Source organism: Homo sapiens, chromosome 6 (assembly GCF_000001405.40).
Source record: "Homo sapiens chromosome 6, GRCh38.p14 Primary Assembly".
Taxonomy (NCBI): domain Eukaryota; kingdom Metazoa; phylum Chordata; class Mammalia; order Primates; family Hominidae; genus Homo; species Homo sapiens.
Genome location: NC_000006.12, coordinates 30,874,370 through 30,900,187, shown reverse-complemented (window position 1 = coordinate 30,900,187; position 25,818 = coordinate 30,874,370). Strand labels below are relative to the sequence as shown.

Here is a 25,818-nt window from a genome sequence, read left to right as displayed (position 1 = left end):
TACCAAATTCCCAAGGAACCCACTCACACAGTTGTGGAAAACTCAACCTTTATTATTACCTGCCTAGTGCAGGGGATTAAAATTGCCTCAAGCTAGGTCCATATATTAGTGTAAAAATCTGTGTCTCTCCCCCCAAAAATGTACAAACCCCAAGTGATTATAGAAAAATCAATGTGGCAGCTACACTAGAGATGTCCAACCCCAAGGCTATGGGCCGTTGCTCCCTCTTTCCCCCCAATCCCAATATTTACTCCACAGAAACGTATAGGCTTAGAGAAGTTCTAGCTACAAGACTGCAAGTGGGAAGTGGGGGTGACTGAGGGCTGGGGCGGGGCTACCCCCAGGTCCAGTGTTTCAGGTGATGGAGGAGGAAGAAGCCCAAGCTGAGGACAAGTACAGGAGCAGGCACAAGGAAACATTTTCCTCTCCTTCTTGTCCTCCTCACCCCCAGATTCTCAGCCAGTGGGGTCCAGTGTGTGACAGGGAGAGAGAAGCTGGGGGCGCAGCCACCTCTCCAGGAATCAGTGTTGTCCAGTGGGGCCCAGGTGCTCCAATGGGCCATGTCCAGTGTCTATCCTATATTTCTCCCCACCCTTCCCCAAGGGATGGCTAGAGGAGGGTGGAGAGGATCCCATCCACAGGACCAGCTGGGTGGGCGACAGGGGCTTCTAGGAAGGAAGAACAGGAAGGGGACATGAGAGTGTGTCCAGGAAGGGGAGAAGGGGCATCAGCTCCCTGGGTGGGCCCAGCCCACCTGCAGTCTCACTGCCTCTATTAGAGGTGATGGGCTGTCGGGAGGGGAAGGGCAGAGGTGCCATTGTGTCCTCTTGTTTTAGTGTCACTGGCTTCCCCTGGATCGCTCCCTGAGGGAGGGGCAGCTGGATGTGTGATTCACACCGTGTTGAGTGCATCCTCTGCCAGGAACCGATGCAGCTGGGAAAAGGGTGGTCGCTGCTCAGACTCCCGGCTCCAGCACCGAAGCATCAGCTCATATAGGCCCTGCGGGCAGGCAGGCGGCCGGGACAGGTACACCTGCATTGTGGCAGTGTGGATGAGAGTCAGGGAACAAATATTCTTTAGTCTCCAAGATGACAACTCTGCCCCTTCTGTCCCCCGCCTCGGACCCATCTTCCCTCTCCTCCACTCTGACCTGCCGGCCCTGGTCCCGGAAGAACTCCCCCGCGTTCTCGATGACCTGCTCGTCGGTGAGCTGCCCAAAGGGCTGGGCCCTACAGAGCATCAGCACCTCCCACAGGGTCACACCAAAGGCCCACACGTCACTCGCAGTCGTGAACTTCCCCTGGGATGCAGAGAAGGCAGCAAAAACAGACAGGGACATCAGGCAACGTAGACCCTCCTCCCTTCCTATTGGAAGCCCCAGATCCACTCTGGGCTCCACTCAGGCCTGATCCCTCCTGACGCCAGGCTCTCCACTCTCCTCCGCTGGCCACCTTTTCCAACTCCTCTCCCTTGGGCTCTGCCTTTCCTCTCCATGCTCTGGTCCTCTCTCCAGGGCCCTGGCCCACCTCTTCCTTCTGCTCCTCCTTCCTCTCCATCCACCCCCACTTTCTGGTCCTGACCTTCGGTCTCCCTACCCAACCCCTTCTATCTCCAGCTTCCTCGCCCAACCTCATCTCTTGAGCTCTCTGCCACCCTGTCTCCATCCCCAGTACCCACTCTTGGCTCCTGGATTCTTGCCCATCACACTGCAGCTCCTGCTTTCCCCAGTCCCTTGGGCTAGGAGAACCTCATATTATAGATGAGATTCTGTAAAATGCAACCCAGAGAAAGTGTGTGACTGATGGAGACCAGGGCTGTGAGTGGCGGCCAGTGTTCTCCCACCTGCCCTGCTCCAACCTGGCTGTCCTCGGGCTGCTCACCATGAGGATGCACTCCCAGGCCATCCAGCGGATGGGCAGCACTGCCCGGCCCTGCACACGGTAATAGTCCCCAGCATAGAGGTTCCGGCTCATGCCAAAGTCTGCGATTTTGATGGTGAAATTTTCCCCAACTAGGCAGTTCCGCGTGGCCAGGTCCCGATGTACAAAGTTGAGTGTGGCCAGATAGCGCATGCCGGAGGCGATCTGGGCTGCCACATGCAGCAGCATTGGGTAGCTGAGAAGGGAACCGACAGAAGGTCACTGGGGGCAGCTTCGCAGATTCCCATCCAGGAGAGGAGAGAGAGCCCACTCCCCGGGCCCGGTCACTCTGGCTCCCCATGTGGAGGTGGAATGCCCACGTGAGGCCAAGGGTCACTTCCCTCTCAATCTCCCAGGCCTGGCCAACACTAGGGGGCTCTTCTTTTATTGTGCTCCCCAATCTGGACTCAGAGGGGAGTGAGGGTGAGAGAAAGCAGAAGGGACGTCATGGCAGGGCCCAAGTCCCTTCACCACTCTTGCATAGTCACCTCCAGCCTTTCTGTCCATGTTCCTGGGTTAACTTGTCACACATTCCTTATCCCAGGCCCTCCTGGAACCTCTCTCCCTTCCCACCCCCACGCTCCCCTCTTTTCCTCCAGGCTGAAGCGAGGGGAGAGGAGGAGATCCCCTGGGGGAATTCTGAGCAAGGCCCAGCCTGGGTAAGCAGGTACCTGATGGTGGGCCCCTGCGCAGCCTGCCCGTCCCCAGGGGCCCCCTCGGCTGCCTTGTCCTCCAGCTGGTGGGCACTGAGGAACTGGTTGAGGTCGCCGTTCTCCATGTAGTCAGTAATCATGCAGAGGGGGTCGTCCTGCACACACACGCCCAGCAGCCGAATGATGTTTGGGTCCTTGAGCCTCGACATGATCTTCACCTCTTTCAGGAAATCATTCCTGGAGAACAAGGAGAAGCTGAAGAGGAATGCCGAGTGGGCGGCCTGCACCTTCCCCCGCGCCCCCACCCCCCTGCCCCACCTCAGGCAGACCAGGCGTCCCCACCCCCAGCGTACATGTAAATCCCCTCCCAGAGATGCCACCCCTCTGTTGGGCTCTGCCATTGTTCTCTCTAGATGGCTCCCCACTCTTCACGGCCTCCCCTCCCTTCTTCCAGATGCCATCCCTGGTCCTCACCTGGCATTCTTGGTGGCATCTGGCCGTAAGATCTTGACAGCTACCAGCAAAGGGTGTCCCTTACGCACATTAAGGGGGAAATCAAGACTAACCAGATCTTGAGGGCTGTCGACCTCACACAGGTGCACCTGGAGAAAGAAGTTCGTTTGCTAGGCGGTCACAGGGTCAAACGGATTAACACGGTTACAAATGACTAAGGTTCCTGGCTAGGGGGATGCGCAGGCATGGCATCAGAGCACACAATAGGGCCAGACACTGGGTAGGCACCCTCCTTACCTCCCCAAACTGGCCCTCGCCAAGCTTCTCCTTGAAGCGGAGTCGAGATCGAGGGAAATCCACTCTGGGGGGCCCATCCCCGACTGCCCCTGGGGGCAGTGCAGGCACAGCATAGGTGTTGCCCCCGGTGACGCCCTGCAGGGTAACAATGTCAGCCTCGGCATAATGGGGGACGCTGTTCTGGGGAGGTGGGGGCAGAAGCGGGGCGCCTGGCTTCTCAGGCTCCATATAGTCCCCACTGTAGGCTGCAGGGGTGAGGGGAAAGAAGACAGGACGAGGCATCAGGAACAGCCCAAGAGCTATAGTTCCCCACACCTCAGCCTCCCGGAGGGCCCTGTGTCTCCCGGTTGAGTGAGAGACTGGGTCTATGCTGTATCTTCCCAGTATTCCATGCGCCAACCTCAAACCAGGAAGACACTGGCATGGGACGAGAGTTAGCTATTCCAGAGCTTTTCAAGGCAATGAATATGGTTGAGCAAAACTGTCATAAAGTCTTACTCTTTTAGGGCCTCCCTAGGGTCTCTCAAGAGACTGTGAGATAAATCTTGGCTGGAAGAAGAATTCCTCCCCAGGAATTCTCCCGCCTCAGGATGGTCCCAGCATCCAGGCACCCTCCACCTTCCAAACCCTTGTCCCGTTCACCACAGCTCCCTCCCCTTCACTTAGCTGCTCTCCCGTGGCTTTCAGCCTGGCTCCCCCTGGGGCCAAGCCCTCCCAACCCTTTCAACCCAACACACCAAGCTCAACAACAAGCAGAGACAGAGGCACACAGAGAGGAGGGAGGGTAACAGCTGCTCACAGCCCCAACACAAGTTGTCTACAGACAGGAGAGGAAGCAGAGCTGTCCCCTCTTAGCCCTGGGGAAGGGGCCACAATGAGAAGGCAACACTGAGGAGAAGAGGGGCAGATGGAAAGGGTTGGGGCATGAGCCTTCACCTCTGGGACTGCAGAGAGAGGACACATGTGAGGGAAAGGGCAAGCGCCCGGGGTGAGAGCCCTCCTCCTCGCAGCTCTAGAGAGAGTGGAGAATAAAGGAGGAGTTACTATAGTCTGGGGCCACCACAGCAACCTCCTGTCTAGCTCTGGAGAGCTGAAGAGATGGCGTGGAAGAGGAGGAGGGAGAAGAGCTGGGGACCAGTAAGCTTTCTACTCCTCAGCTCAAGGGGGGGACCTTAAAAAAGAGCAAGCAGCAGCAGAGATGAGCTAAGGGCACAAGAGCTTCCTCCTTGGGAGCTCAGGAGAGCAGAATAGGCCACAGTGGGGAGAGGAGGAAGTGCAAGGTGTGAGGGCTTTTCCCTGCCCCAGTAGAGGTATGGGGAGCCTGGCGGAGCCCAGGGGCAGAGGGGCTTACCCTGGGTGTTGGTGGGTTTGGCCCAGGCGGGTGTGGGGGGGCCCGGGCCTCGAGGGGGACGGGCGTAAGTGGCCAGAAGGAGGCGGTAGGCTGGATTGGAGAGCAGCAACGCTGTCGGGAGAAGGAGGAGGGGAAACACGGGGAAGGGATGAGACTCAAGGCTAGACAGACAGGGAGACCTTGAATAGGGCAAGACCAGGGCTGATGGGATGATTGCATTAAGAGACAGACAGGATAAAACAAGGATCTGCAGAGTGACGGACGGCTGGCTGGATAATGAATGCATGGACAGATGGGACGTATGAATAGATGGATGGATGGTAAACAGATGTTTTGTTGGATGGATGGATAACAGATGGAAAGATGGATGTGTGAATATAGATGGATAGATGGATGATGGATATGGGTGGGTGGATGGATGGATGAATAGATTTATGAATATAGATAGAAAGACAGATGATGGAAGATTGATGGATGGATGCAAGGATGTATGACTATGGATGGAAGGATGGGTGATGGAGGATAGATGAAGGAACAAACATGGTGAGTCTAATACAAAGCAAAGGGGCCAGGGAGACACAATGAGAGGGTACAACAAAGATAGAGAGATGTCTGTGGGACACAGACAAGATAGCACCACGGGGGACTATGGGTAATACATGGGGAACTCTTGAGAGAGACTACATGGTAGGGACAAAGAGTGATATAGACAGTAACCAGGGGCACAGAAAGAAGAAAACAAGTGGAAACTGGGGAAGACAGGAAAAAAAGAGAATGGGAAAGGGATACAATAAGAAAACAGCAGAGAGGACAGAGGTGCGACTGGAACAAGGCAGGTCTTACCAGAGCCATTGGGGACACAGGGAGCGGAGTGGGGCGGATTCCCACGAGGCCGGGGCTCCTGGTACGGGGGTGGCTCTCTAGGACCTGGGCGGTTGTTGATGAGGATAGTGTCCCCAGGGACAGAGAGGTGAACCGTCAGCTCCTCTTCCAACACCCTCCGTTCAGCCTTGTCATAGGGATGGGAGGCATCACCCGTGTTGCTCAGCACACACGGCCTGGCCCTCTGCTGTGTCCATCCCTGCGTTCCCTCCCTCAGCCCTCACAAGAGCCCTACAGCTGTGGATACTATCAGCACCATCTTACAGGCAGAGAAAGTGAAGCTCAAGAGCATGGAGGTAACTTCCCTGTCCCACAATGAGATTCTAACCCTCATCTGCCCAGTCCATAACTATCAACCGTTTTTTTTTTGTTTGTTTGTTTTTTTGAGATGGAATTTTGCTCTTGTCGCCCAGGCTGAAGTGAAATGGCATGATCTCAGCTCACTGCAACCTTCGCCTCCCAGGTTCAAGAGATTCATGCCTCAGCCTCCTGAGTAGCTGGGATTACAGGCATCAGCCACCATGCCTGGCTAATTTTGTATTCTTAGTAGAGATGGGATTTCACCATGTTGGTCAGGCTGGTCTCGAACTCTTGACCTCAGGTGATCCTCCCGCCTCGGCCTCCCAAAGTGCTAGGATTACAGGCATGAGCCACCGTGTCCAGTCATCAACCTTAATGTACATTACTGCCACTGGACTCCAGCCGGAAGACGTGGCTTGGGGTGTGCCAGACGTCTTCCCTTTGCCCCTCCAACCCCACTCTCTGCCTGTCTCTACCCTGCTTCTGCCCCAAGGCTGACCAGTGTACACTGCACCAACAGGCCTGGTTTGGGTTAGCCAGAGAGGAGCCCAGCAGGAGTTTGGGGCAGAAAGTGAGGTCAGGGCATCTATTCTCCCAGGCCCTCCCTGAGGGGTAGATACGGGCCAGCTGCATCCCAGGACCAAAGTCTACTGCCCCTGTCAAGGTGCCCTCTCCACAGGCTCTCTCCTCTGGGTCGTGGTATTTGCTCCTCTCCGCTGAGCAGACCCAGAGCTGGGGAGCAGCCCTCCCTGTGAGCCCCATACCCTCTTTGACATGGTGTAAGTGGTCTCTTTACTAAGCCCTCCTCTTGGGATGCTAGTGGGCTGTGCCCTGCAGGTCCCACTGGACGCTGGCTCGTGCTGGGGCCTGGCCTCCCCCCGCCACTCCACATGCCACGGCTGTGCCCACCTTGCTGAGGAGCCTGCGCCAGTGCAGCCGCCAGAGCATGAGGGCAATGATGAGCAGCAGGAGCAGGATGATGGCCACCAGGCAGCCGATGAGGATGGCGGTCGGGCTCCCCTCGGCCTTGGCCACGGGCTGCTGGCCTCTGGGCTCCAGCTCTGGTGGAGGCAGCAGGGTCAGCACCACAGGAGGGTCCCACCCTAGCCGAGGGGGAGGCCCAGGGAGAAGGGTGCAGAGGGTCCACACGCCCACCCAAGATTGCTCACCCAAGCTGCTGAAGTTGGTGGGAGGTGGGCCAGGCGGCCACCAGGGGGCTGGCGGGAAGGTGCCTCCCAGTGCCGGAGAGGAATTGTTCACCACATCTGGGGAGAAGGAACAAAAAGAAAGGAGGGAGGTAAATGAGGAGGAGACCCAAGGGAGGCAGAGGCAGTGGACTGTTGTGCAAAGGAGCAGAAGCATGGGTGATTCTCAATAGGCAACCACTGACCAGTGGGGGCTGGGGGAGCAGGGTCCTGGAACACCCAGCTGTGGTGGGTGTTAACCCTATAGTTGCTGGATTGTGGGGAGGTGGAGGACAGGTATCTGGAGGCTTAGAGAAGAGGCTATTTCTCAACTAATACAGAAGTATTTCAATATTTTAACAACCAGTACTGTCATACTGGCTCAATAATAGTCACGGGCAAGGGGCTTACAAAGGAAAGATGGATACGCAGAGAACAAGAGGCAGAAAGGGGCTCAAGTTATTTGGGGCACCCCTAATTGAGAAGTTTCGGTGGGTGATGGGTAGATATAATGCAAGGAATGAGTATTTTAGGGACACTGCAGGGTTAGGAATGAAATCAGTTGTCAATTTCAGGGACTGGAGACTGGGCTACTCCAGGGCTTACCAGAGATGAAGGAGATTTCGCTGAAGAGTAACCAGGGCCCCGCAAAGAGGAAGCGGCACTGCAGAAAGCGAGCCACACGGCCGCCAAGGGGCACTGAGACAGCCCGGGCTCTGGGGTCCCCCAGGTTGCCCCCTAGGTTGTGGCGCATGGGCTCCCCCTCCCAGGCCATGGCAGGGCCACGCCGGAAGCGACATTCCACCCCGCCAGGCAGACGGGCTCCCAGCGTGTGCATGTTGTTACAGTGGACCTGGGGGGAAGGGAAGAGGGCACAGGGTCAAGGCTAGGAGTGGTGGGGGCACCCCAACGGCACCCTGCATGGCTTCAGAGCCCTCCTCGAGAGCCGGACTCACTCACCTGCATAGCCTGGAAGGCCCTCAGCCGGTCAAACTCAAACTCCATCTCCACATAGCCACTGGAGAAGCTGTGGTTGCTCCATCCCACATAGTCATAGCCTGGCCAGACCCGCAGCTCCTGACTCTTCCTAAAGTCATCCAGCCCCACCACACCATCTGCCAGCTGGCCCAGACCCCCATACTGCAGTCTGGAGAAGAGGGGACCAAGGAAGAGGAGGTTGGAAGGGAAGAGGGTCTTGACATCCAGGCATTCTGCTCCGCCACCCTCCGGCACAGTGGCATGGCCAGCCTGGCTCCCATCCACTAGTCCCATTCCCATCCCACCTCACACTCATGCAGCTGGCCCTTCTCCTCTCTCCACCCCACCCCAGCACTACAGGTACCTTGCAGGTCACATCCAGCACAAAGGCACCACCTCTAAGGGGCACCATTTCAATCTATGATGTGTATATTTATTGCAGCAATTTCCAACAATGTGTGTTAGCAAAGGGGTGCCTTTTTCATACAGTGTCATACGGGCTAGTGGTCACCCTAGTGCTACCCTTTGAGGCCCCACCTAACCCATCCCTCTTCTCAGCTCTTCCATCTCACTCCCCACCCTACTTACCAGCCCCCCTACACACACACACTCTCACACACACACACACACACACACACACACAGTCCTCCCTCCCACCCCAAACTCCATATCCTGCAGGGGCCTTTCTTACCCGCCCACGGTATGTCCGTCATAGGTGGAGTCGTTGAGGTACACGGCCTCAGATAAATACATTGTCTGCCCCACAGGGGCGGTGTAAGACAGGAGTCCATCTGGGGCAGGGTGAGAGGATGGGGGTCAGAGGCACTAAGGCTCCATCCCCCATCCCTGCATCAGGCCTGGGCAGGTTTCAGGTCCCTTCTTGTATCTCTCCACTGGCTCATTGGCATGGAGGAGACAATGCTGGCTAGCCCCCTCCTCAGAGTGACAGCTTCCCAGCAGGAGAAGGGATCCTGGATGCCCATTCTCCACACTCCCCACCCTCCAGTCCCCTGCTCAGGAAACAGATTCCCAGGAAGCTGAGCCACTCACCCCTCCAGAGGCAGCCATAGAGCTCTACCCGCAGACAGACGCTCATGACCCGGTCAGCCCGGGGGTAGAAGCGAACCAGTCGGGCAACCATGGGGGGCCCAAGGTCCTTCAGCACCACTCCCTCAGGGTCCTCATTGCCTGAGATCACCTGTGGGCCAGGAAACAGGGGGTGGGTGGGATGGAGTCCAGGTCAGATCTTACTTCCCACCCACCAGCTGCTCCCTGGCCCAGCCCACAGTGGCCACTTAGAGACCCATGAGGGGTGGCACCGAGCACACAGCACTGTGGGGCGCAGCCAGGCATGGGTGAAATGAAGATCTGCAGCTGAGACCTCTGGCTCTGTCGCAGCTCTGATGTTCCATCCTCAGACTTCAGGCTCAGCTGCCCTCTTCTCCTTGCCTGGCTCCATCCATTTGTCTCCAAGCCTATCATCCCATTGTGCCCAGATTCTCCCCAATCCTCACAGCCCTGCACCCCTGCCTCAGCTTCCCCTTCATTTCAGCCCATTCCCTCTGTTCATTCAGCAGAAGTTGGCTGAGTGCCCGCTCTGTGCCAGGCGCGTTCTCAGTGGTGAACGTCACTCCCCACCCTTGTAGGACTGAGATCCCAGCAGGGAAAACAGCTGCGAAGAACAAGAGGCAGGAAGTATGGACAGAGCAGTGAGGTGGGTGGCCAGAAAAGGCTCTCTAAGGAGGTGACACCTGGCAGAGAACTGAATGGAGTGAGGGAGAGCCTGTGGTTATTTAGGGGAGGAGCTTTGCAGGCACAGAGAAAATGTCCAGAAGCTGTGGGAACGAGCCCTGGCTTGTTCCAGCAACAAGAAGAAAGGCAGCGTGGCCAAGGAGGCGCCAAGAAACAAGTGATGCAGGCAGGAGCCAGGTCAGGCTGAGCATCCTGCACCAGCTAGGGACTCAGCTTTTGTTCTGGCAGAGTGGAAAGCCAGCATGGGGGTGTCAGCTAGGTGTGACGTATCTGATTTACATGCTCTAAGGTCCACTGGATGCCGCCCCCCCAGGTGGAGATTTGACTCCAGGCAGAAAAGGGCAGAAGCAGGGAGACGCGTTTGGCATCTACTGCACTCATCTAAGCTGGAGATGGCGGGCAGGTGGCCTAGGGCAGTAGAGGTGGAGTGGTGAGGAGTGACTGGACTCAGGAACACTATGGAGGTAGAACAGACGGGGCTGCTGATGCTTTGGAAGGAGGTGAGAGAAAAAAAGGAATCAAGGATATCATCTTAACTTATAGCCTAGGCAACCAGGCAATGGTGATACCACTTCCTGAGCTGGAGAATGCCAGGGGAGGAGCAGGTTTAGGCTGGGAATGGGAATCAAATTCAGCTTGGGAAGTTAAACGTACGTTTGAGATGCCTATTAGACATCTAGGTGGCTGGCTACAGTGCTTGTAATCCCAGCACTTTGGGAGGCTAAGGTGGGAGGATCACTGAGCCCAGGAGTTCAAGACCAGCCTGGGCAACACAGCAAGACCCCATCTATTAGAAAAAAAAAAAAAGACATCTAAGTGGAGAAATCCAAAAGGTGGCCAGGTTTACAATATTGTTTGGAGCTCAGCTGAGAGGCTTAGTCTGGAGATGATATAAACTGGAGAGTCGTCAGCGTATAGGTGGTGTTTAAAGTACAGCTGGAAGTGAGGAGAGCCAACCTCCTCTGGGTGCTGCCCCTGCCAGTCTCACCTCCTGACCCCAGCGGTCCTTCCAGCCCATCCAGCGGCGACCATCCCGGGAGTAACGCAGCCGGTAGCTCCGGGAGAACTCCTTGCCCAGGCCCCCGGCATGCCGTCCCTGGGTGCCCACCAGAGCCACCAGGTGCAGTCGTTGTAGATCCACCTGCAAGTACTCCTCCTCCTTGGGAAACACCGACCCTGCGGGGCACCAGGCCCCATCCCCGTCACTGCTCTCCAACCTGAGGGTGAAGAGGGGCACAGAGAACATCTGGCCCCAGGTCTGCCTCCATCTCCAGTATTTAAACCCCACTTCATTTGCCCCCTCAGCCTGCAGGGGTTTCACTGGCATGGGCAGAGGGGTTGGAGGGGAAGTAGAGGTCCCAGGAGCTCCTCTCGGGGCAGCTACAAGTGTGCCAGGTGTGCCAAGTACCTGCTGTGGCGGGCGGCAGTGGAATCTGACCAGGAGCTGGAAGCAGAGATGTCACTGTCTGGGATGGTCCGGTCCTGCATGCCCAGGGCATAGCGGCACTTGGCTGAGTAAAAAGCAGGCATGTAACAGGTCAAGGCCCCCAACTCTCTACCTCCCAAGCCCTGGCCCTCAGGGACCCATGATTCAGTCTCCTCACCAGGATCAAAATGTCCCTTCATGTCAGCATCTCCACTTGCCACCAAGAGCAGCAGCAGTAAAGATGACAGGGCCTCTGGTCCCATAGCTCCTGATCCCTCGGGCCTAAGGGGGTGGGGGCAGCATCTCTGCAGGGGATAAAATGGGTGGTGCGTAAGTTAATCAGGGGACTGAGTCATAGCTGACAGCAACAGACAGAATGGGCCGCTTTGGGGATAATAACAGTAAAACAACAACAACAGTCATTGTTTAACAGCATCAGCTATATTTTTAGAATGCTTCCCCTGTGCCAGACACTGGCCTAAACCCTTAAACAGAATCCATAATTTTATCTTCACAGTCACTTCATAAGGTAGATACTATTACTATCCATATTTAACACATGAAGAAACTAGGGCAGAGATCAGTTAAATAACTTCCTAAAGCCCCATTTCTCCAATCAGGAATGGGCAAAATATCCCCATAAACAACGGCTTAGAACAAACAACAAGTGTGCAAAAAATGTTTATAACACATACAACAGGAAAAGGTTTAATAACTACAATAAACTAAGGCCCCTTAGGAACTGACAAGAAAAAATATATAAGTAACCCAATAAAGAAACAGCCAAAGAATGTGAATAGTCATTTCACAGAAAAGCAAAGCCAAATTGCCAACAAACATTTTTTTTAATGGTCAAATTCACCAGCCTCAGGGAAATACCAAGCAGACTGACAAGATATTTTTTTAAGGCTGTAACATATAAAAGTGGTAGAAAGTGATGAAAAGGGAGGCACCATGCTCAATGGCAGAAATGAGTGTTATCTTCTATTTGGAAAGCAATCTAGCAATGTCTATTATAATTAAAAATGCACATCCTCTTCGACCCAGCATTCCCTCGAGAGAGAAGCACCAGGAAGTAAGAACATATGTGCAGGTCTGGGTCTGGTGGCTCATGCCTGTAACCCCAGCACTTTGGGAGGCCGAGATGGGAGGATCACTTGAGGCCAGGAGTTAGAGACCAGCCTGGTGAACATAGTGAGACCCCATCTCTTTAAAAAAAGTGAAAAATAAAAATAAAAAAGAAGATTTCAAAGATGTTTATTATGGTACCTTTTGTAAGACATAAATCTGTAAGATATGTGAATGCCCACAGGGGACAGGCTGGAATTAAAAAAAATAAGGTTTATTGACTACTATGCAGCTATGAAAAGTAACAAAGAGGCAATATATTCCTAACTTTGTGTGATTTCCATGTATATCTGTTGAATATGAAAAGCAAGCAACAGAAGTATAAAAAATATCCCACCTTTTGAAAATAGAATAAACAAGCACCCATGTTTGTATATATACCTGTGTGTACGTCTAGAAGGAGAGAATATATAATAGAATATAACAATAGAATACAATATAACAAGAGTTAACATGAACGGGGCAAAAGAAAAGCAAATTTAAAAAGACAGGTTGATTGTACTATTTTTCTAAATCTTGTAACATAAATGCATTTATGTAAAATCATAAGATATGTAAAAGAATATGAAAATCATTTTGACTTTTAAAAAATAAATATGTCCCAGGAAAGGTTGGGCAATTCCTTGTTGAGGATATGATAGAATTAAACATCAGATAAGCCTGGACCAGCTCACCCTGCTGCCCTCCCACATAGGAGTCCAGAATTCTAAGAGAAGGGCAGAGGGGACCCCAGCACCTTCTAGTCTTACTGTCCCCTATAGCCCTCTAGGCCCAGGGTGGTCCCTGGACCATCAGCAATACCTGGAAGCATGGAAGAAATCAGAATCTCAGGCTCACCCTTGACCTGCTCAATCAAAATCTGCCTTTTAACACAATTCCCAGGTGACCTGTGCCCATTAAAGTTTGAAAATCCCTACTCTGTTCCTCAGGCCCAGGAAGCTTACCCCACATAAAACTATTCTAAATGGCATCTCCTTACAAACCCAAGTAACTACTCTCCCCTCCCCTGCTGCAGGAAAAGCTATCCTAACCTGTACTGGTCTCAGAGCCCTGTACTGAAGTCTCCAGGCCCTGGAGTCCTGAGGGACTCGACTGCCACCTCTTATCAGGTTCAGGGCATCTTGGGCCCAGTTATCCCTGCTCTGCCTTCCTGAGACCCAGACATCCAGTCCCCCCAGTTCCCACTTCCAGAAGGTGGCTGCCTCTGAGGGACTGAGGAAAGGCTGAGTTGCCTTGGAGACGAGGGCGGGTCTAAAGACAAGGAAGGCAGGTCACCCCAGGAGGTAGGAGGAGTGGGGGATACTCCCCCATCCCTTTGTCCTCCTCCAGCTGCTCCCACAATGCACTAGGGCAGGAATGTAAGAGGCAGCTGAGACCCCAGAGCTCTGAAGCAGCAGCTGAGGGGGACGACTGAGTTGTGGGGGGCACTCAGAGGCTAGAACCAGAAGGCATCACGCCTGGTCCCTTAGGGTCCAGCGCCGGGGAGCAGGCTGCCAGAGTCCCAGGAGACTGGCTTGGAATTCCTGGGTGCCGCTCTCCAACCCCACCTCTCTCGGGAACAGCGGGGCTCTTGTTCCCCTAAGTAACCTTCATGCCTATCCCAGATGAGTCATCAGAGCCACACAGAGCCGAGAGGAGCCCGGGGCAGAGATACAAAGGCAGGCAGAGGATACGAGGCAGGCGGAGACAGAGCGAGAGCCACAATGCAAGAGGTAAATAGAGCAGGCTCAGAAACACGGGGCACAGAGCCAAGCAGAGGAACACGGAGAAGCACAGAGACGTCTGGGCTGTCTGTTCTCCAACACCCCCAGTCACCTCATCTCTCTCCACTGGGTCTTCAGTCCACAGTCAGAGACCCAGAGGGCAAGAGAGGACAAGCCCAGAAGACCTTCCCCAATCCCACCCCCTTCCACTCCATTACAACCAAAGACAAACCAGGGGCCAGGCCACCCTGCCTCAAGCCCTTCACGCTCCTCTCCCAACCCCCAAGTCCCACTCAGACAACACCCACACAGCTCTGTACACACACACACGGTGAAACACACAAACTTACTGAACTGGCTGTAAACAGCGAGGCTAAATGTGGCATGCACACACCCACCTCTCAGTGTCCCTGACAACCCTCACAGAGTTTCTGAGACAGAGCAAACACAGAAGCTCATGCATACATCAACCCGTCCACACCTTGGCATTCCTTCAAGTCCAACCCCATCGCTCAGTGAATAGCCACCTTCAGACACCTGTGAACATGAAATGACAGACACCACATGCTCCTGTGACCAAAAGACAGCATGAGACACACACACCCGGGCCCTTGGGCACAGGATCCCCAGAGAACTGGGGCCCAGCCTCTAACACACATGGGTGACCAAGCCAGAGGGACGTCGAGGGGGCAGGGAACAGGTGGGCGCTGGGTGGGAAGAGTGGCAATAAGGACAACAGCCTTTCCCTGCCTTTCCACTCACTCCCCTTTCACCTGTCTCCACCACACCACTCAGTCCTGGACACACCTACAGGCCCTCAGCAACAGCCAGCGAGCTTGGGCGCCTGCCTCTGGCTGCTGGAAGCGCTGGGAAGAAATGTTCAGCCAAGAGCCAGGCATGGGGGGGTGGGACCCTGAAGCTGGCGCTCACCGGCAGTGACATTCTCTCATGCCAGAGCTAATTGACCATCCAGCCGGGAAGAGTGGTGTCACTGGTGGGTTAGAGTGGCAGTCCCTCTTTTTGCTGGACTGTGACCAGACTGACCAACTGGGTGTTGGCTGAGCGGAGGCTTAGCAGTTAGATGCCCGCAGGGACTGGCCAGGTGGAGGGCAGGCGATAGATGAGCTGACTCAGTGGGGCTGCACAGGAGCACCTCCTCCCGGGGCTCAGTTCCTCCGCACTGAGTGAGAGGGGACTTGCCTCAAGGCTGGAGGCTCAAAACTCTTTCTGGGAGGTCACGGGCTTCACCTCCACCCAGTCCCCGCCCCCGGTTTTCAGACGGTATGCCAGAGCATCGGGGAGGCGGGCAGGGAGGCTTAGAAGAGCTGGACGACCAAGCATGGCTCGGGACGTCCTGCCTCCCCCGCCCCTCGCCCTGCAGGCGCCGCCGCGCGCCCCCACCCCAAGAGCCCCAGGCCTCCGCCCGCGGGTTCCGCCGCCGCTCTCCCTACCTCTCATCGCTCTTCCCGGCAGACCCAGGCGTCCGACCCGGGAGCGGGGCCTCTTCGGCGGCGGGGCGAGGGGCGGGGGAGGCGGAGGGAGCCAGGAGCCGGGAGCCGGGAGCGGGAGGCGCCGGCGGGGCTCGGGTGTCGGGAGGCGGCTCCCGAGAGCAGCTGTCGGGGGCCTGTTCCGGGGAGAGGAGCCAGGGCTGGGGCGGCTCGGGCCCAGGCGCCGCCTCCCCCTCGCCTCGGCTCCCTCCCTTCCTCCTCCCGCTCCTCGCTCCCCTCCCTCCCCTCGGCCTTCTCGCCGCGCGTTCGGGCTCGCAGCCCTCCCTTCCCCCTCCCGGACCCAGTAGTCCCAGTGGCTCCCACGCCCGGCGCCGAGCTCCAGGCCCCGCGCCCGCCACGCCCACCCCGCGCGCTAGCGCCCGGCCCGGCCTCCCCCAGGTAACCCGCCCGCCAAGCCCGCCTGGGCGCTCCCAGGCCGCCCAGCCGCCCGCGCCGCTGCCTCCGGCCGGCTCCGCGCCCAGCCCCCTCCACCCACTCGCAGCCCACCCCCGCTTCCCCAAACGAGAACCTCCAAAGCTGGCGCCCCAGGGGGCTGGCTGCAGTCCCGCTCAGGGCCCACGAGGGGAAGACGCCCCTCCTACTTCTGGGATCGGTTCCTGGTGGGAGAGGCAAAGGGGAGCAGCCCCAGGGCACAGAGGAAGAAGCAGGTTCCCACAGGCTCGGCCCAGCCCAGCTGCGGGAGTTAGCCCAGAGAAGGGAGCAGAGCTCAGGTCTCAGGGCTCACCTGTCCAGCCAGGCCCCAGACTGCTCTTCTCCCTCCACCAACCTTTGCTCCTCTCTCGCAGCCTGTGCGCTCCCGCCCCTACGACCCAACCTGGAAGGCCCCAGACCCTGAAGGCGGGCCCACTCTCTTCTCCTTCTCCTCTCAGTTCCTCTCTCTGAAGGGCGTTCTAAGGGACCCGGGGGTCCAGACGCCCAGGCCCTGATTCCCCTGGGCTCCCAACGGAGTGGAGTGGGAGGGGGACTCAGGAGTCCTCAGGGCAAGCCTCCCTCAGGCCCAGCCAGCTCTGGCCGTAGTGGGCCAGAGGGTCTGATCACTGGCCAGAAGAGGCCAAAAATGAGGCCAGGACAAAGTTGAGTGGTCGGGAGGAGGAAGAAGAGGAGCAGGAGAAGGATGGAGGCACACTGAAAATCACACACAGTCAAAAGGAAGGGGACCAAGAGACCCAGGGAAGATGAAACAGTGAGACTGAGTAGGCAAAGCAACTGAGAGAGCTACTGGGCAGAGGATGGAGCGGGACAGAACAGCTTGTGGTGGGAGGTGCTTTTTCCCCACTCAGCACTACCTCAGCCCCTCACCTCTCTCCACACCCCCACACCTGCTCACCACCTAGACAATGTCACGGTCACAGGAAGTTCTCGCTCCACTGCACATCTCCGCCCCAGGAACCTCACAGTAGATAAAAACATACCCTGCTTGCAGTCCCAGACAACAATCCCAAGAAAGAAACACGAAGTCCCAACCAGACAAGTACACAAAAGCACTACCAGGAAGAAGCTGGCCCTTGGGAAAGGCCGAGGCACACATGGGCACTAGTTCAGAAGCCCAAGGACGTTCCAACGGCTGAGGGACCTGCTAACAGACAGCCCCAGGGTCACTCGAAGAGCAGCTTCTTCCCGCCTTCCTGTCCCACCAAGCCCCCAGGGATTCATTCCCCCAGAACACCTACCCCTCCAGAGAACAGCAGCTGGGGAATCTAGGCCCAGGAGACGCTGGACTGGGGGTGGGGCCAGCCTGGGGGTGGGGCCAAGGCTTCCCAAGTCACCTCACCTGGCAGCCCACAGCCCCTCCTTCCAGGAGCTGTGCTCTGGGAAAGCCCCAACAGGCCTGCCAGGCAAGCTACAGCCCGTCATACCCTGGTGGGACATTCCACACCCCAGGCCCACGCTGACCCCAGCTAAGTGGCATGGCAGTGCCAGACAGAGGGGTCCACTGGGGAGAGCAGAAGGAGCTAGAGAGTCCTGAAACCTTTGTCCCCTCTTCTCACTGCCTCAGGAGAAATTCCTAGTGGTGATGCCCACCTCGCCCCAGCTCTAGGCTGGAGGAGTGGGAGGGATGCAAGGCTGGGGCCCAGTGGAGTCAAGTGACAACGGAAAGGGAGCTGGAGCCAGCTGGAATGCGGGACTCGGAGCCGAGATTCCCAGGGGCCTGAGAGGGAAATCCCAGCCATCCTGGGGCCCAGAGAGCAGCACCAAAGACCAAGAGGGCCTGATTACCCATCCGTGGTCCCCAGAGCCCATTCCACATCTCCTGCATCACTCCGAACCCCAGAGGCCCCCTGTGTCCCTGAGAACCCCCAAATGACCCTCTACCATCCCCTCCCATCCTGGGCTTCCCTCCCCTTCAAGCCAGTGGCAGCCTGCTGCCCAGGAAGGAGAGGATGGGAAACAGCTGAAAAAATGTGAGGAGAGGCACGTAGGAGAGGGGAGAAGGCAGCTTCAGGCCTGCAGACCACCTGGCCACAGGAGGGAAGCCCAGCACGACCAGCGAGCGAGAGGACGGACCAGATGGGCCCCCACACATACACTAGCTGCAGTCCCCTTCCGGGAGCTGCAGCTGCCTCTGGAGGAGCAGGCTGGGTCAGCAGCTGGGGAGAGTAAGAAGCGACGGGTGGGGGGCAGGGTGAAGGAGTGTACAAGGCTTTGGGTGTGAGTCAGACCTGATGCCACTGAATAAACTGGAAACTGAGGCCAGGGAGCGAAGGAGGAGATTGAGATGACGTAGCTCTGGGAGAGAGATGAAACAGCTCAGCTGTGGTTGGGGAAGAAAAGGGCAAGGGACCAGAAGAGGGAGAGGAGGCTGATGGTCAGATGGGGACAATGGTGAGAGAATTCCCAGAGAGACGGAGATGGACTGAGGTCAAGGCCAAGGAGACAGGTCTGAGAGAGGAAAAGGAGGATGAAGACAGGGCACACACAGCAAAAGGTGGGAAGCCCCAGGGGCTCAGAGGAGGAGACTGAAGTTTGGGAAGAAAAGGGCTGAACTGGATGAAGGAACTGAAGTGGACTCGGGAAGGAAACAGTGTTGGAAACAAACTCCTAAGAGAGGAAGGCAGGGAACTGAGGAGGCTTGAGAGCTGGGCAGACAGATCAAGGGGACAAGAAGCAAGGACAAGGGAAGAAGGGGCTGGAGTGAAACAGAGAGTGGAGGGAAAGAGGAGGGAGACTGGGGCGCAGAGTGTGAAGCTAAGGGACACGGGGAGATGAGAAGTATAAAAGGCTGAGAAAGGAAGAGGCACCTGCGGGACAGATGGGGACATGAGGACCAAAGAGAGAATCTAACCTGTTTCTGGACAACGGTCCCCCTTTGGGGACACCCTAGTCCCTCAGCCCATTCACCACACCATGGCACCCAACTCTATTCCCTCTCTTTCCCCTCCTCCCTGCCAGGCTCTGGGCCGCTCCCCTCCTCCCAACACACCTCCAGCCTCCAGCCGGGGACCGCCTGGTCCCTGCCCACAAGGGGAGGGCCCAGCTCCAGTGCCCACTCCTGCCCTCCCAGTTCATCTCTGGCTTCCCCCCTCTCACCTCCAGCTCAGGATTCTCTTAGGTCCCAGTCACCCCAGTCTCAGGCCTTTGGGGTCGGGTCTGGGGCTGCCAACGCTGCCTGGCTTTGTCCGAGCGTCCGGGGCCCCGGGCCCAGGAGGAGCAGCTGCCCGGGCCAGCTGCGGCTGGCTTCAATGTGACCATGGCAACCAAGTCCCGCTCCCCTCACCGAGCCTCTAGGCCCCCGCAGAGAGGGACTGAGCAGCCTGGCTGTGGAGAAAGGGAGGGGAGGCTGAGAACTGTGAAACAGAACCAAAGGGAGACCCCAGACAAAGAAACCCCAGACAAAAGGAGATGAAGGGAGGCAGAGGAAACAGAAAGCGGCATTGGGGGTGGTGGCCGGGAGCTCAGGCCCTCCAGAGGGGGAGAATCTAGGAGAGGCGGAGAAAGAGGCAGAAGCAGGGGCTGATTTGCAGGGGAGAAGAGAGATTAGAATTGACTGGCAGAGGTCCTTTAGAGACTCCTTCTGGGCCCCTGAGAATTCACTTCCTTCTCCCAGGATTTTGCACCCTGGAGAGAACCAGAATCCCAGTTTCTTAGTTGGCTGTCTCAAAAATATTATATATGGCGAGAGCTTCCCTCCAATTACACCAATGGCCATAGGAAATATCTGAAAACAAAAGGTGCTCTCAGTTTTCACAAACAACCCCAATTTCAAAGCCTAAACCATCACCTCTTAAATACCAATGGCAATGGTGCCAGTTGCGGTGGCTCATGCCTATAATCCCAGCACTTTGGGAGGCCAAGGAGGGCTGATCGCTTGAGCCCAGAAGTTCGAGACCAGCTTGGGCAACATGGCACAACCCCATCTCTACAAAAAATACCAAAATTAGCTGGATGTGGTGATGCGCACCAGGAGGCTGGGTGGGAGGATCACCTGAGCCCGGGAGGTCAAGGCTGCAGTGTGCCATGATTGCACCACTGCACTCCAGCCTGGGCAACAGAGCAAGACCCTGCCTAAAAAAAAAAAAAAAGGGCATTGTCAGACAATGTTCAGACAATCCTTGGTTTGGAAACTATGATCCCAAAGCCAAAGGTGATGAATTAGGCTTGGAGGGACTGGAGGAGGGAAGAGGAGTAATGAGGCCGCCTCTCACAGCATGCAAGAGGAAGCAGAGTATCAAATGGGAGGGGAGAAAGCAGGGCTCTGCGTCTGAGAGGGAGAGTTAAGGTTCCGACTCAACATCTGGCTTCTCTTGGCTGAGTCTACATCAGTAAGAGGGAGATAATGGTCACTGGCCCAGAGTCTGTTTAGAAGATAATGAGATAGCATCTGTAAGGTACAGGCCCACTGATAAAAGCAACCATCCAAACTCCACTAAACATGATCTCTCTCTGTGGACTTCTCATGTGTCACTTGGGATCTCTGAGTGCCACCTCCCAAGTCATTCCACAACAGTTGTTATTAAGAGTTTGCTTTGAGAGGCCGAGGTGGGTGGATCACCTGAGGTCAGGAGTTTGAGATCAGCCTAGCCAACATGGTGAAACCCCATCTCTACTAAAAATAGAAAAAAATTAGCTGGGTGTGGTGGTGCGCGTCTGTAACCCCAGCTACTTGGGAGGCTGAAGCAGGAGAATTGTTTGCACCTGAGAGGTGGAGGTTGCAGTGAGCCAAGATCACACCACTGCACTCCAGCCTGGGTGACAGAGGGAGACTCTGTCTCAAAAAATAATAATAATAAAATAAGAGTTTGCATAGGGCACCAGGTGCAGTGGCTCATGCCTATCATCCCAGCACTTTGGGAGGCCCGAGTCAGGCAGATCACCTGAAGTCAGGAGTTCGAGACCAGCCCGACCAACGTGGTGAAACCCTGTCTCTACTAAAAATGCAAAAAAATCAGCCAGGCATGGTGGCGGTTACCTGTAATCCCAGCTACTTGGGAGGCTGAGGCAGGAGAATCGCTTGAACCCGAGAGGTGGAGGTTGCAGTGAGCTGAGAATGCGCCATTGCACTCCAGCCTGGGATACAAGAGTGAAAGTCCCTCTCAAAATAAATAAATAAATAAATAAATAAATAAAAATAAAAGAGTTTGCATAGGGCAGGGCTCTGACAGCGAGAGCTATGAAAGATGCATTCAGTAATGGAACCCACTCCCCACCTTCCAGGCCTTTACAATCTAGAGAGTGTTAGGCGTATATATGTAGTCACAGAAGACAGAACACCGTGCTACAGGCAGAGCTGGAAAGGGTCATGGGAACCCAGGGAAGGAGGAGGCCAGGTCCTCCTGAGTGGGACAGGAGACAAGACTCAGGAAGACCTCAGGGAGGAGCTGGAGCTTGAACTGGGCCTTAAGTCATGCTAAGATTTGCAGAGATGAGGCAAGGCCATTCCTGGCCAGAGAAGCGGAGGAGCCAAGGCAGGGAGGCGTGAATATGGCTATGTCCAAATGCAGCCTCACCTGGAAGAAGGGTCCATCCCATGAGTGAAACCAGAAAGGCAGATTTGGAACCTATCATTGAGTAGTTTGGCTTATTCTGAAGGTGAGGAGAAAGAACCTTGGGGTTTTGAGCTGGGAAATGACATGTTTAGATTTGTGTTCTTTTAAAAGTGGTTTTTGGCAGCAGCATGTGGGATGCAGAGTTCAGAGTAATGGCTGAGGGGAGGGAGGAGTTAATCCCACTTTATCCTGTGTACGTCCCATGGTGCTCCCCCTAAGCCTCCAGCCAGGACAGCAGTGCACATCCTAGGTGTTTTACTAGCATTTTCAACCATCCTGTGTTTGCCTCCTCAGGGCCCTCTGACATGAGTGGGGCAGGGCTCTCATAAAAAGAAAACCTTGTAATCCCAGCTACCCAAAAGCTGAGGCAGGAGGATGGCTTGAGCCCCAGAGTTCGAGGTAACAGTAACTATGATCACACCACTACACTCCAGCCTGGGTGACGGAGCAAGACTCTATCGCCAAAAAAAGAGTGAGAAAAAAGAAAACTAGGCCCAGAGGGGCTGCGATTTACCTTAAATTGCAATAGCAATTTAATTGCCACTTAATGGCAAGTGGCTGCTTCCTACCCAGAACTTCCCCTGGATTCCTCCATCTCAGTCTTCCAAAATGGAAAGGGGGATGTAGAATGGCTCCCTGGGCCTCCAGACTGGACCGACCCTGGACCGACCGCTAAGCCTGGTGAGTCCTGCCTCTGCGGAAGCCCGGCCTTGATAAACTTATCGGAGTATTCTTTAGGCCTTATGGTCCGGACAGTGAACAGGAAGGCCACTTGGGGGCGCTTGCTGCACAGGTGACCAACTCCAATTACTGGAAAATGGAAGGAAAGTGAAAGCGGCCAGGAAAGAGATTCAGGCTTGGGCAGGGAATGGCAGGAAGCACCCCAAAGCAGCAGACCCAAGAGAGAGGTCAGAAAGGCTGACTGGAAGCCCAGGGCAGCTGCGGGGCTATTTAGGGTACAATGACCTAATTTGCACATATAGGAGATGTTGTCATTTATAGGCAGAATGTTAGAATCTTCACTTTCTCTTTTCTATTGTCCTTTGCTAAAAAGCCTGTGGAATTCTCAGCAGCGTCTTAGGATCCCTGAGCCTTGCTGTGAGCCAGGCTCTGCTCTCAGCGCTTTCCAGAGCCATCTCATTTGGCCCACACAGCAGTTCTGTGATGTGGCATTTTGAAACATGCCCACTTAGGGTAGAAACTGAGAGTTAGAAAAGTTGCTCTCCATCCCCATCCCCCATACACACACAGTAAATGGCAGATCTGGAATTCAGATCTCAGTTGTTTGTTTATTTGTTTTATAGAGACAAGCTCTCTGTCACCCAGGCTGGAGTGCAGGGGTACAATTATAACTCAATGCAACCTCTCAAGCCATCCTCCCACCTCAGCCTCCCAAATAGCTGGGGCTCAGGCACCATCATGTCCTGTTATTTTTTATTTTTATTTTTTTGAGACAGAGTCTCGCCCTGTTGCCTAGGCTGGAGTGCAATGGCACGCTCTCGGCTCACTGCAACCTCTGCCTCCCGGGTTCAAACGATTCTCCTGCCTCAGCCTTGAGAGTAGCTGGGATTATACGTGCCCGCCACCACACCCAGCTAATTTTTGTATTTTTAGTAGAGACAGGATTTCACCATGTTGGCCAGGCTGATCTTGAACTCCTGACCTCGTGATCCGCCCGCCTCCGCCTCCCAAAGTGCTGGGATTACAGGCATGAGCCACCACGCCCAGCCATTTTTTGTTTGTATGTAGAGATTGGTAGAGATAGGGTCTCACCATGTTACGTAGGCTAGTCTCAAACTCCTGGCCTCAAGCGATCCTTCTGCCACAGCCTCCCAGTGTAATGAGATTACAGGCGTGTGCCACAATGCTTGGCCCAAATCTGAGTCTTTTTGATTACAGAGCCAAAGCTAGGCTGGAGGATCTCAGCCACCATTCTTTTTCCAACTCTAGAGGTCTATAATACATTCTTATCCTTTCTCTCTAGTCCTTGAACATCTTGGAACATTGTCATTAACTCCTCTAACTTCTTTTATCTCCCAAGAACACTGGTGGCCCAAATTATTCTTGTGTACAAAAAATGTACAGAGATCCAAAAATGGTAAATGCTTACCTCAAGGTCACCCTGGAAGTCAAGGTCAGTGCTAGGATAGTGTTCTCAAACTGAGGTCTCTGGACTCCTGAGGACTCGTGAATACCTGTGAAAACTATTAAGTTCCATGTCTAACTTTCCTTAGTAGCATTTGAAAAGTGTTATAAGCATGTTTTGGGTCATTTGTAACTGATCCTGGCCCTGCTTGTGAGTACCTGCATTTGCATTTACCTATTTATAGCTTTAATTGTCTTGGTCGCATTTGTACCAAGTGAAGGCCAGGAGACAAGTTCTAACAAAGATTTCTTAGTAATTTGAACAGACATGAGAAGGGGAAGAATTGAGTCATCGCCAGGCACACAGTGGAATATTGTGCCAAGTGCGGAAGAACCTTCATCAGGCAGTACATGGTCTGTTGCCAGCAGCAACTTCATTTCAGAAAAACACTATTTATTACATTAATGTTAAACTTGTCTTTATACTTTTGTTTGTACCTATGGCTACTTTGCTTTGGTTTTATAACTGCTTAACTACTGAAGCATAAGGAATTCATAGTTAGTTGTGTTTCCACACATTTAAATTATAAAAATAATTTAAGTCCATGAAAATTGTTTTCCTTCCAAAAAGGTCCATCCATACATTACTCAAGTTCTTGCTCTCACAGTAGGTATAAACTAAACCTGGGCCATCAAGAGTCTCCAAGGAAAACTTGCAATGATGGAGTCCCTGTTAAAGGTCAAAAATCTCCCCGACCCTCAAGATCCAGTGCAAGTGAAGCAGCCAGTTGTCTGGGGTAAATACCCGGGGTTTGCCATCCCATGCCAGGAAAATGTAGGACACGGACACACGCGAGGAGTCGCGAGGAGTTTAAGAGGGAAGGTTTAATAGGCAAAAGAAAGAGAAAGGAAAACAGCTCTCTCTCTAGTGAGAGAGGGGACTTCCGAGAGAAAAGGGGCAGCTGGAGGCAGATGAGCCGAATTTATAGTCCAGCTTGAGGAGGCGGCGTCTGATTTACTTAGGACTCACAGATTGGTTTGATCAGGTGTTTGTTTACATAGCTGGGAAGGCTGGCCGCCCCACCCTAAGCTTATTATGCAAATGAACTCTCTCGGAGGGTGCCATTTTGTCGGCTCCTTACTGCACCTGTGGCTGACAGAGAAGGGATGATGGGGCCGCCATTTTGAACATGATTGGCACAACTGCCGTCATCTATGTCTGCAGCCCGATTTTACAGGCTGCTCTTTGTTAGAAGGAAAAATGATTTGGGCCTGCTTTCCATTAAAAGAGAAACCTTACCAAGAACTTCGGTAACCTCACTGTCTACCTAAGTAATTTCTTCTTAACTCCTGTGTCACAAGGAAGTTAGAACCTGGGGTTTCTGGGCTACTAAGAGAGGAAGATGTGAAGGACTGATTCACAAAGTGAAGAAGTCAGAGGGCAGTCACCTGGGGAAAACTCCAAGGACAGTTTACAGGATAGAATCAAGAATTGGCCAGGTGAGGCCAGGCGCCCTGGCTCACACCTGTAATCCCAGCACTCTGGGAGGGCGAGGTGGGCGGATCACGAGGTCAGGAGATCGAGACCATCCTGGCTAACACGGTGAAACCTCGTCTCTACTAAAAATACAAAAAAACGAGCCGGGCGTGGTGGCGGGCCCCTGTAGTCCCAGCTACTCAGGAGGCTGAAGCGGCAGGATGGCGTGAACCGGGGAGGCGGAGCTTGCAGTGAGCCAAGACCGCACCACTGCACTCCAGCCTGGGCGACAGAGCAAGACTCCATCTCAAAAAAAAAAAAAAAAGGCCAGGTGAGGTGGCGCACGGCTGTAATCCTGTTACAGGAAAGGGGTCTCAATCCAGACCCCAAGAGAGGGTTGTTGGATTTCGCACAAGAAAGAATTCTGGGTGAGTCCTCAGTGCAAAGTAAAAGCAAGTTTATTAAGAAAGTAAAGGATTACAAGAACGGCTGCTCCATGGAGCAGCCCTGAGGGCGGCTGGTTGCCCGTTTTTGTGGTTATTTCTTGATGATATGCTAAACAAGGGCTGGATTATTCATGCCTCCCCTTTTTATTTTTTATTTTATTTATTTATTTATTTTTGAGATGGAGTTTCACTCTTGCTGCCCAGGCTGGAGTGCAGTGGTGAGATCTCAGCTTACTGCCACCTCCACCTCCCAGGTTCAAGTGATTCTTCTGCCTCAGCCCCCTGAGTAGCT

General features: G+C 54.5%; 1 protein-coding gene and 1 non-coding gene across 59 annotated transcripts, besides 5 other annotated features; both read right to left on the bottom strand.

Moving 5' to 3' along the window:
* Positions 32 to 19,218, bottom strand: DDR1 (discoidin domain receptor tyrosine kinase 1). Of its 58 annotated transcripts, XM_047419321.1 has the most exons (22): positions 17,205 to 17,254; positions 16,862 to 16,924; positions 16,043 to 16,130; positions 15,478 to 15,650; positions 14,957 to 15,120; positions 11,374 to 11,500; positions 11,178 to 11,280; positions 10,758 to 10,986; positions 9,068 to 9,215; positions 8,709 to 8,808; positions 8,000 to 8,186; positions 7,646 to 7,892; positions 7,025 to 7,120; positions 6,765 to 6,916; positions 5,517 to 5,682; positions 4,674 to 4,784; positions 3,323 to 3,567; positions 3,047 to 3,174; positions 2,591 to 2,827; positions 1,881 to 2,115; positions 1,151 to 1,300; positions 32 to 1,032 (listed from the first exon to the last, which is right to left on the bottom strand). In XM_047419321.1, the coding sequence occupies exons 5-22, from the start codon at positions 14,966 to 14,968 to the stop codon at positions 892 to 894; spliced, it is 2,814 nt and encodes a 937-aa protein (XP_047275277.1). In that variant the 5' UTR covers positions 14,969 to 15,120; positions 15,478 to 15,650; positions 16,043 to 16,130; positions 16,862 to 16,924; positions 17,205 to 17,254; the 3' UTR covers positions 32 to 891. The 58 variants fall into 58 exon arrangements, with proteins under 58 accessions (XP_047275277.1, NP_001374828.1, XP_047275278.1 ...); NM_001387899.1 differs by lacking the exons at positions 14,957 to 15,120; positions 16,043 to 16,130; positions 16,862 to 16,924 and adding exons at positions 14,508 to 14,563; positions 17,023 to 17,107 and having other exon boundaries at positions 2,591 to 2,809; XM_047419322.1 differs by lacking the exon at positions 16,043 to 16,130.
* MIR4640 (microRNA 4640) lies at positions 9,216 to 9,305 on the bottom strand. Its single transcript, NR_039783.1, has one exon. It is a non-coding gene; the product is annotated as a microRNA 4640 (primary transcript).
* Positions 13,262 to 13,768: an enhancer, noted in NCBI's record as "H3K27ac-H3K4me1 hESC enhancer chr6:30854197-30854703 (GRCh37/hg19 assembly coordinates)". NCBI's record gives its function as "activates a minimal SCP1, AML or CMV promoter by ChIP-STARR-seq in primed H9 embryonic stem cells {active_cell/tissue: H9 hESC(primed)}" and the evidence as "EXISTENCE:reporter gene assay evidence [ECO:0000049][PMID:30033119]".
* Positions 14,784 to 15,291: an enhancer, noted in NCBI's record as "H3K4me1 hESC enhancer chr6:30852674-30853181 (GRCh37/hg19 assembly coordinates)". NCBI's record gives its function as "activates a minimal SCP1, AML or CMV promoter by ChIP-STARR-seq in naive H9 embryonic stem cells {active_cell/tissue: H9 hESC(naive)}" and the evidence as "EXISTENCE:reporter gene assay evidence [ECO:0000049][PMID:30033119]".
* Positions 15,361 to 16,134: an enhancer, noted in NCBI's record as "H3K27ac-H3K4me1 hESC enhancer chr6:30851831-30852604 (GRCh37/hg19 assembly coordinates)". NCBI's record gives its function as "activates a minimal SCP1, AML or CMV promoter by ChIP-STARR-seq in naive H9 embryonic stem cells {active_cell/tissue: H9 hESC(naive)}" and the evidence as "EXISTENCE:reporter gene assay evidence [ECO:0000049][PMID:30033119]".
* Positions 18,569 to 19,497: an enhancer, noted in NCBI's record as "H3K27ac-H3K4me1 hESC enhancer chr6:30848468-30849396 (GRCh37/hg19 assembly coordinates)". NCBI's record gives its function as "activates a minimal SCP1, AML or CMV promoter by ChIP-STARR-seq in naive H9 embryonic stem cells {active_cell/tissue: H9 hESC(naive)}" and the evidence as "EXISTENCE:reporter gene assay evidence [ECO:0000049][PMID:30033119]".
* Positions 22,263 to 22,764: an enhancer, noted in NCBI's record as "NANOG hESC enhancer chr6:30845201-30845702 (GRCh37/hg19 assembly coordinates)". NCBI's record gives its function as "activates a minimal SCP1, AML or CMV promoter by ChIP-STARR-seq in primed H9 embryonic stem cells {active_cell/tissue: H9 hESC(primed)}" and the evidence as "EXISTENCE:reporter gene assay evidence [ECO:0000049][PMID:30033119]".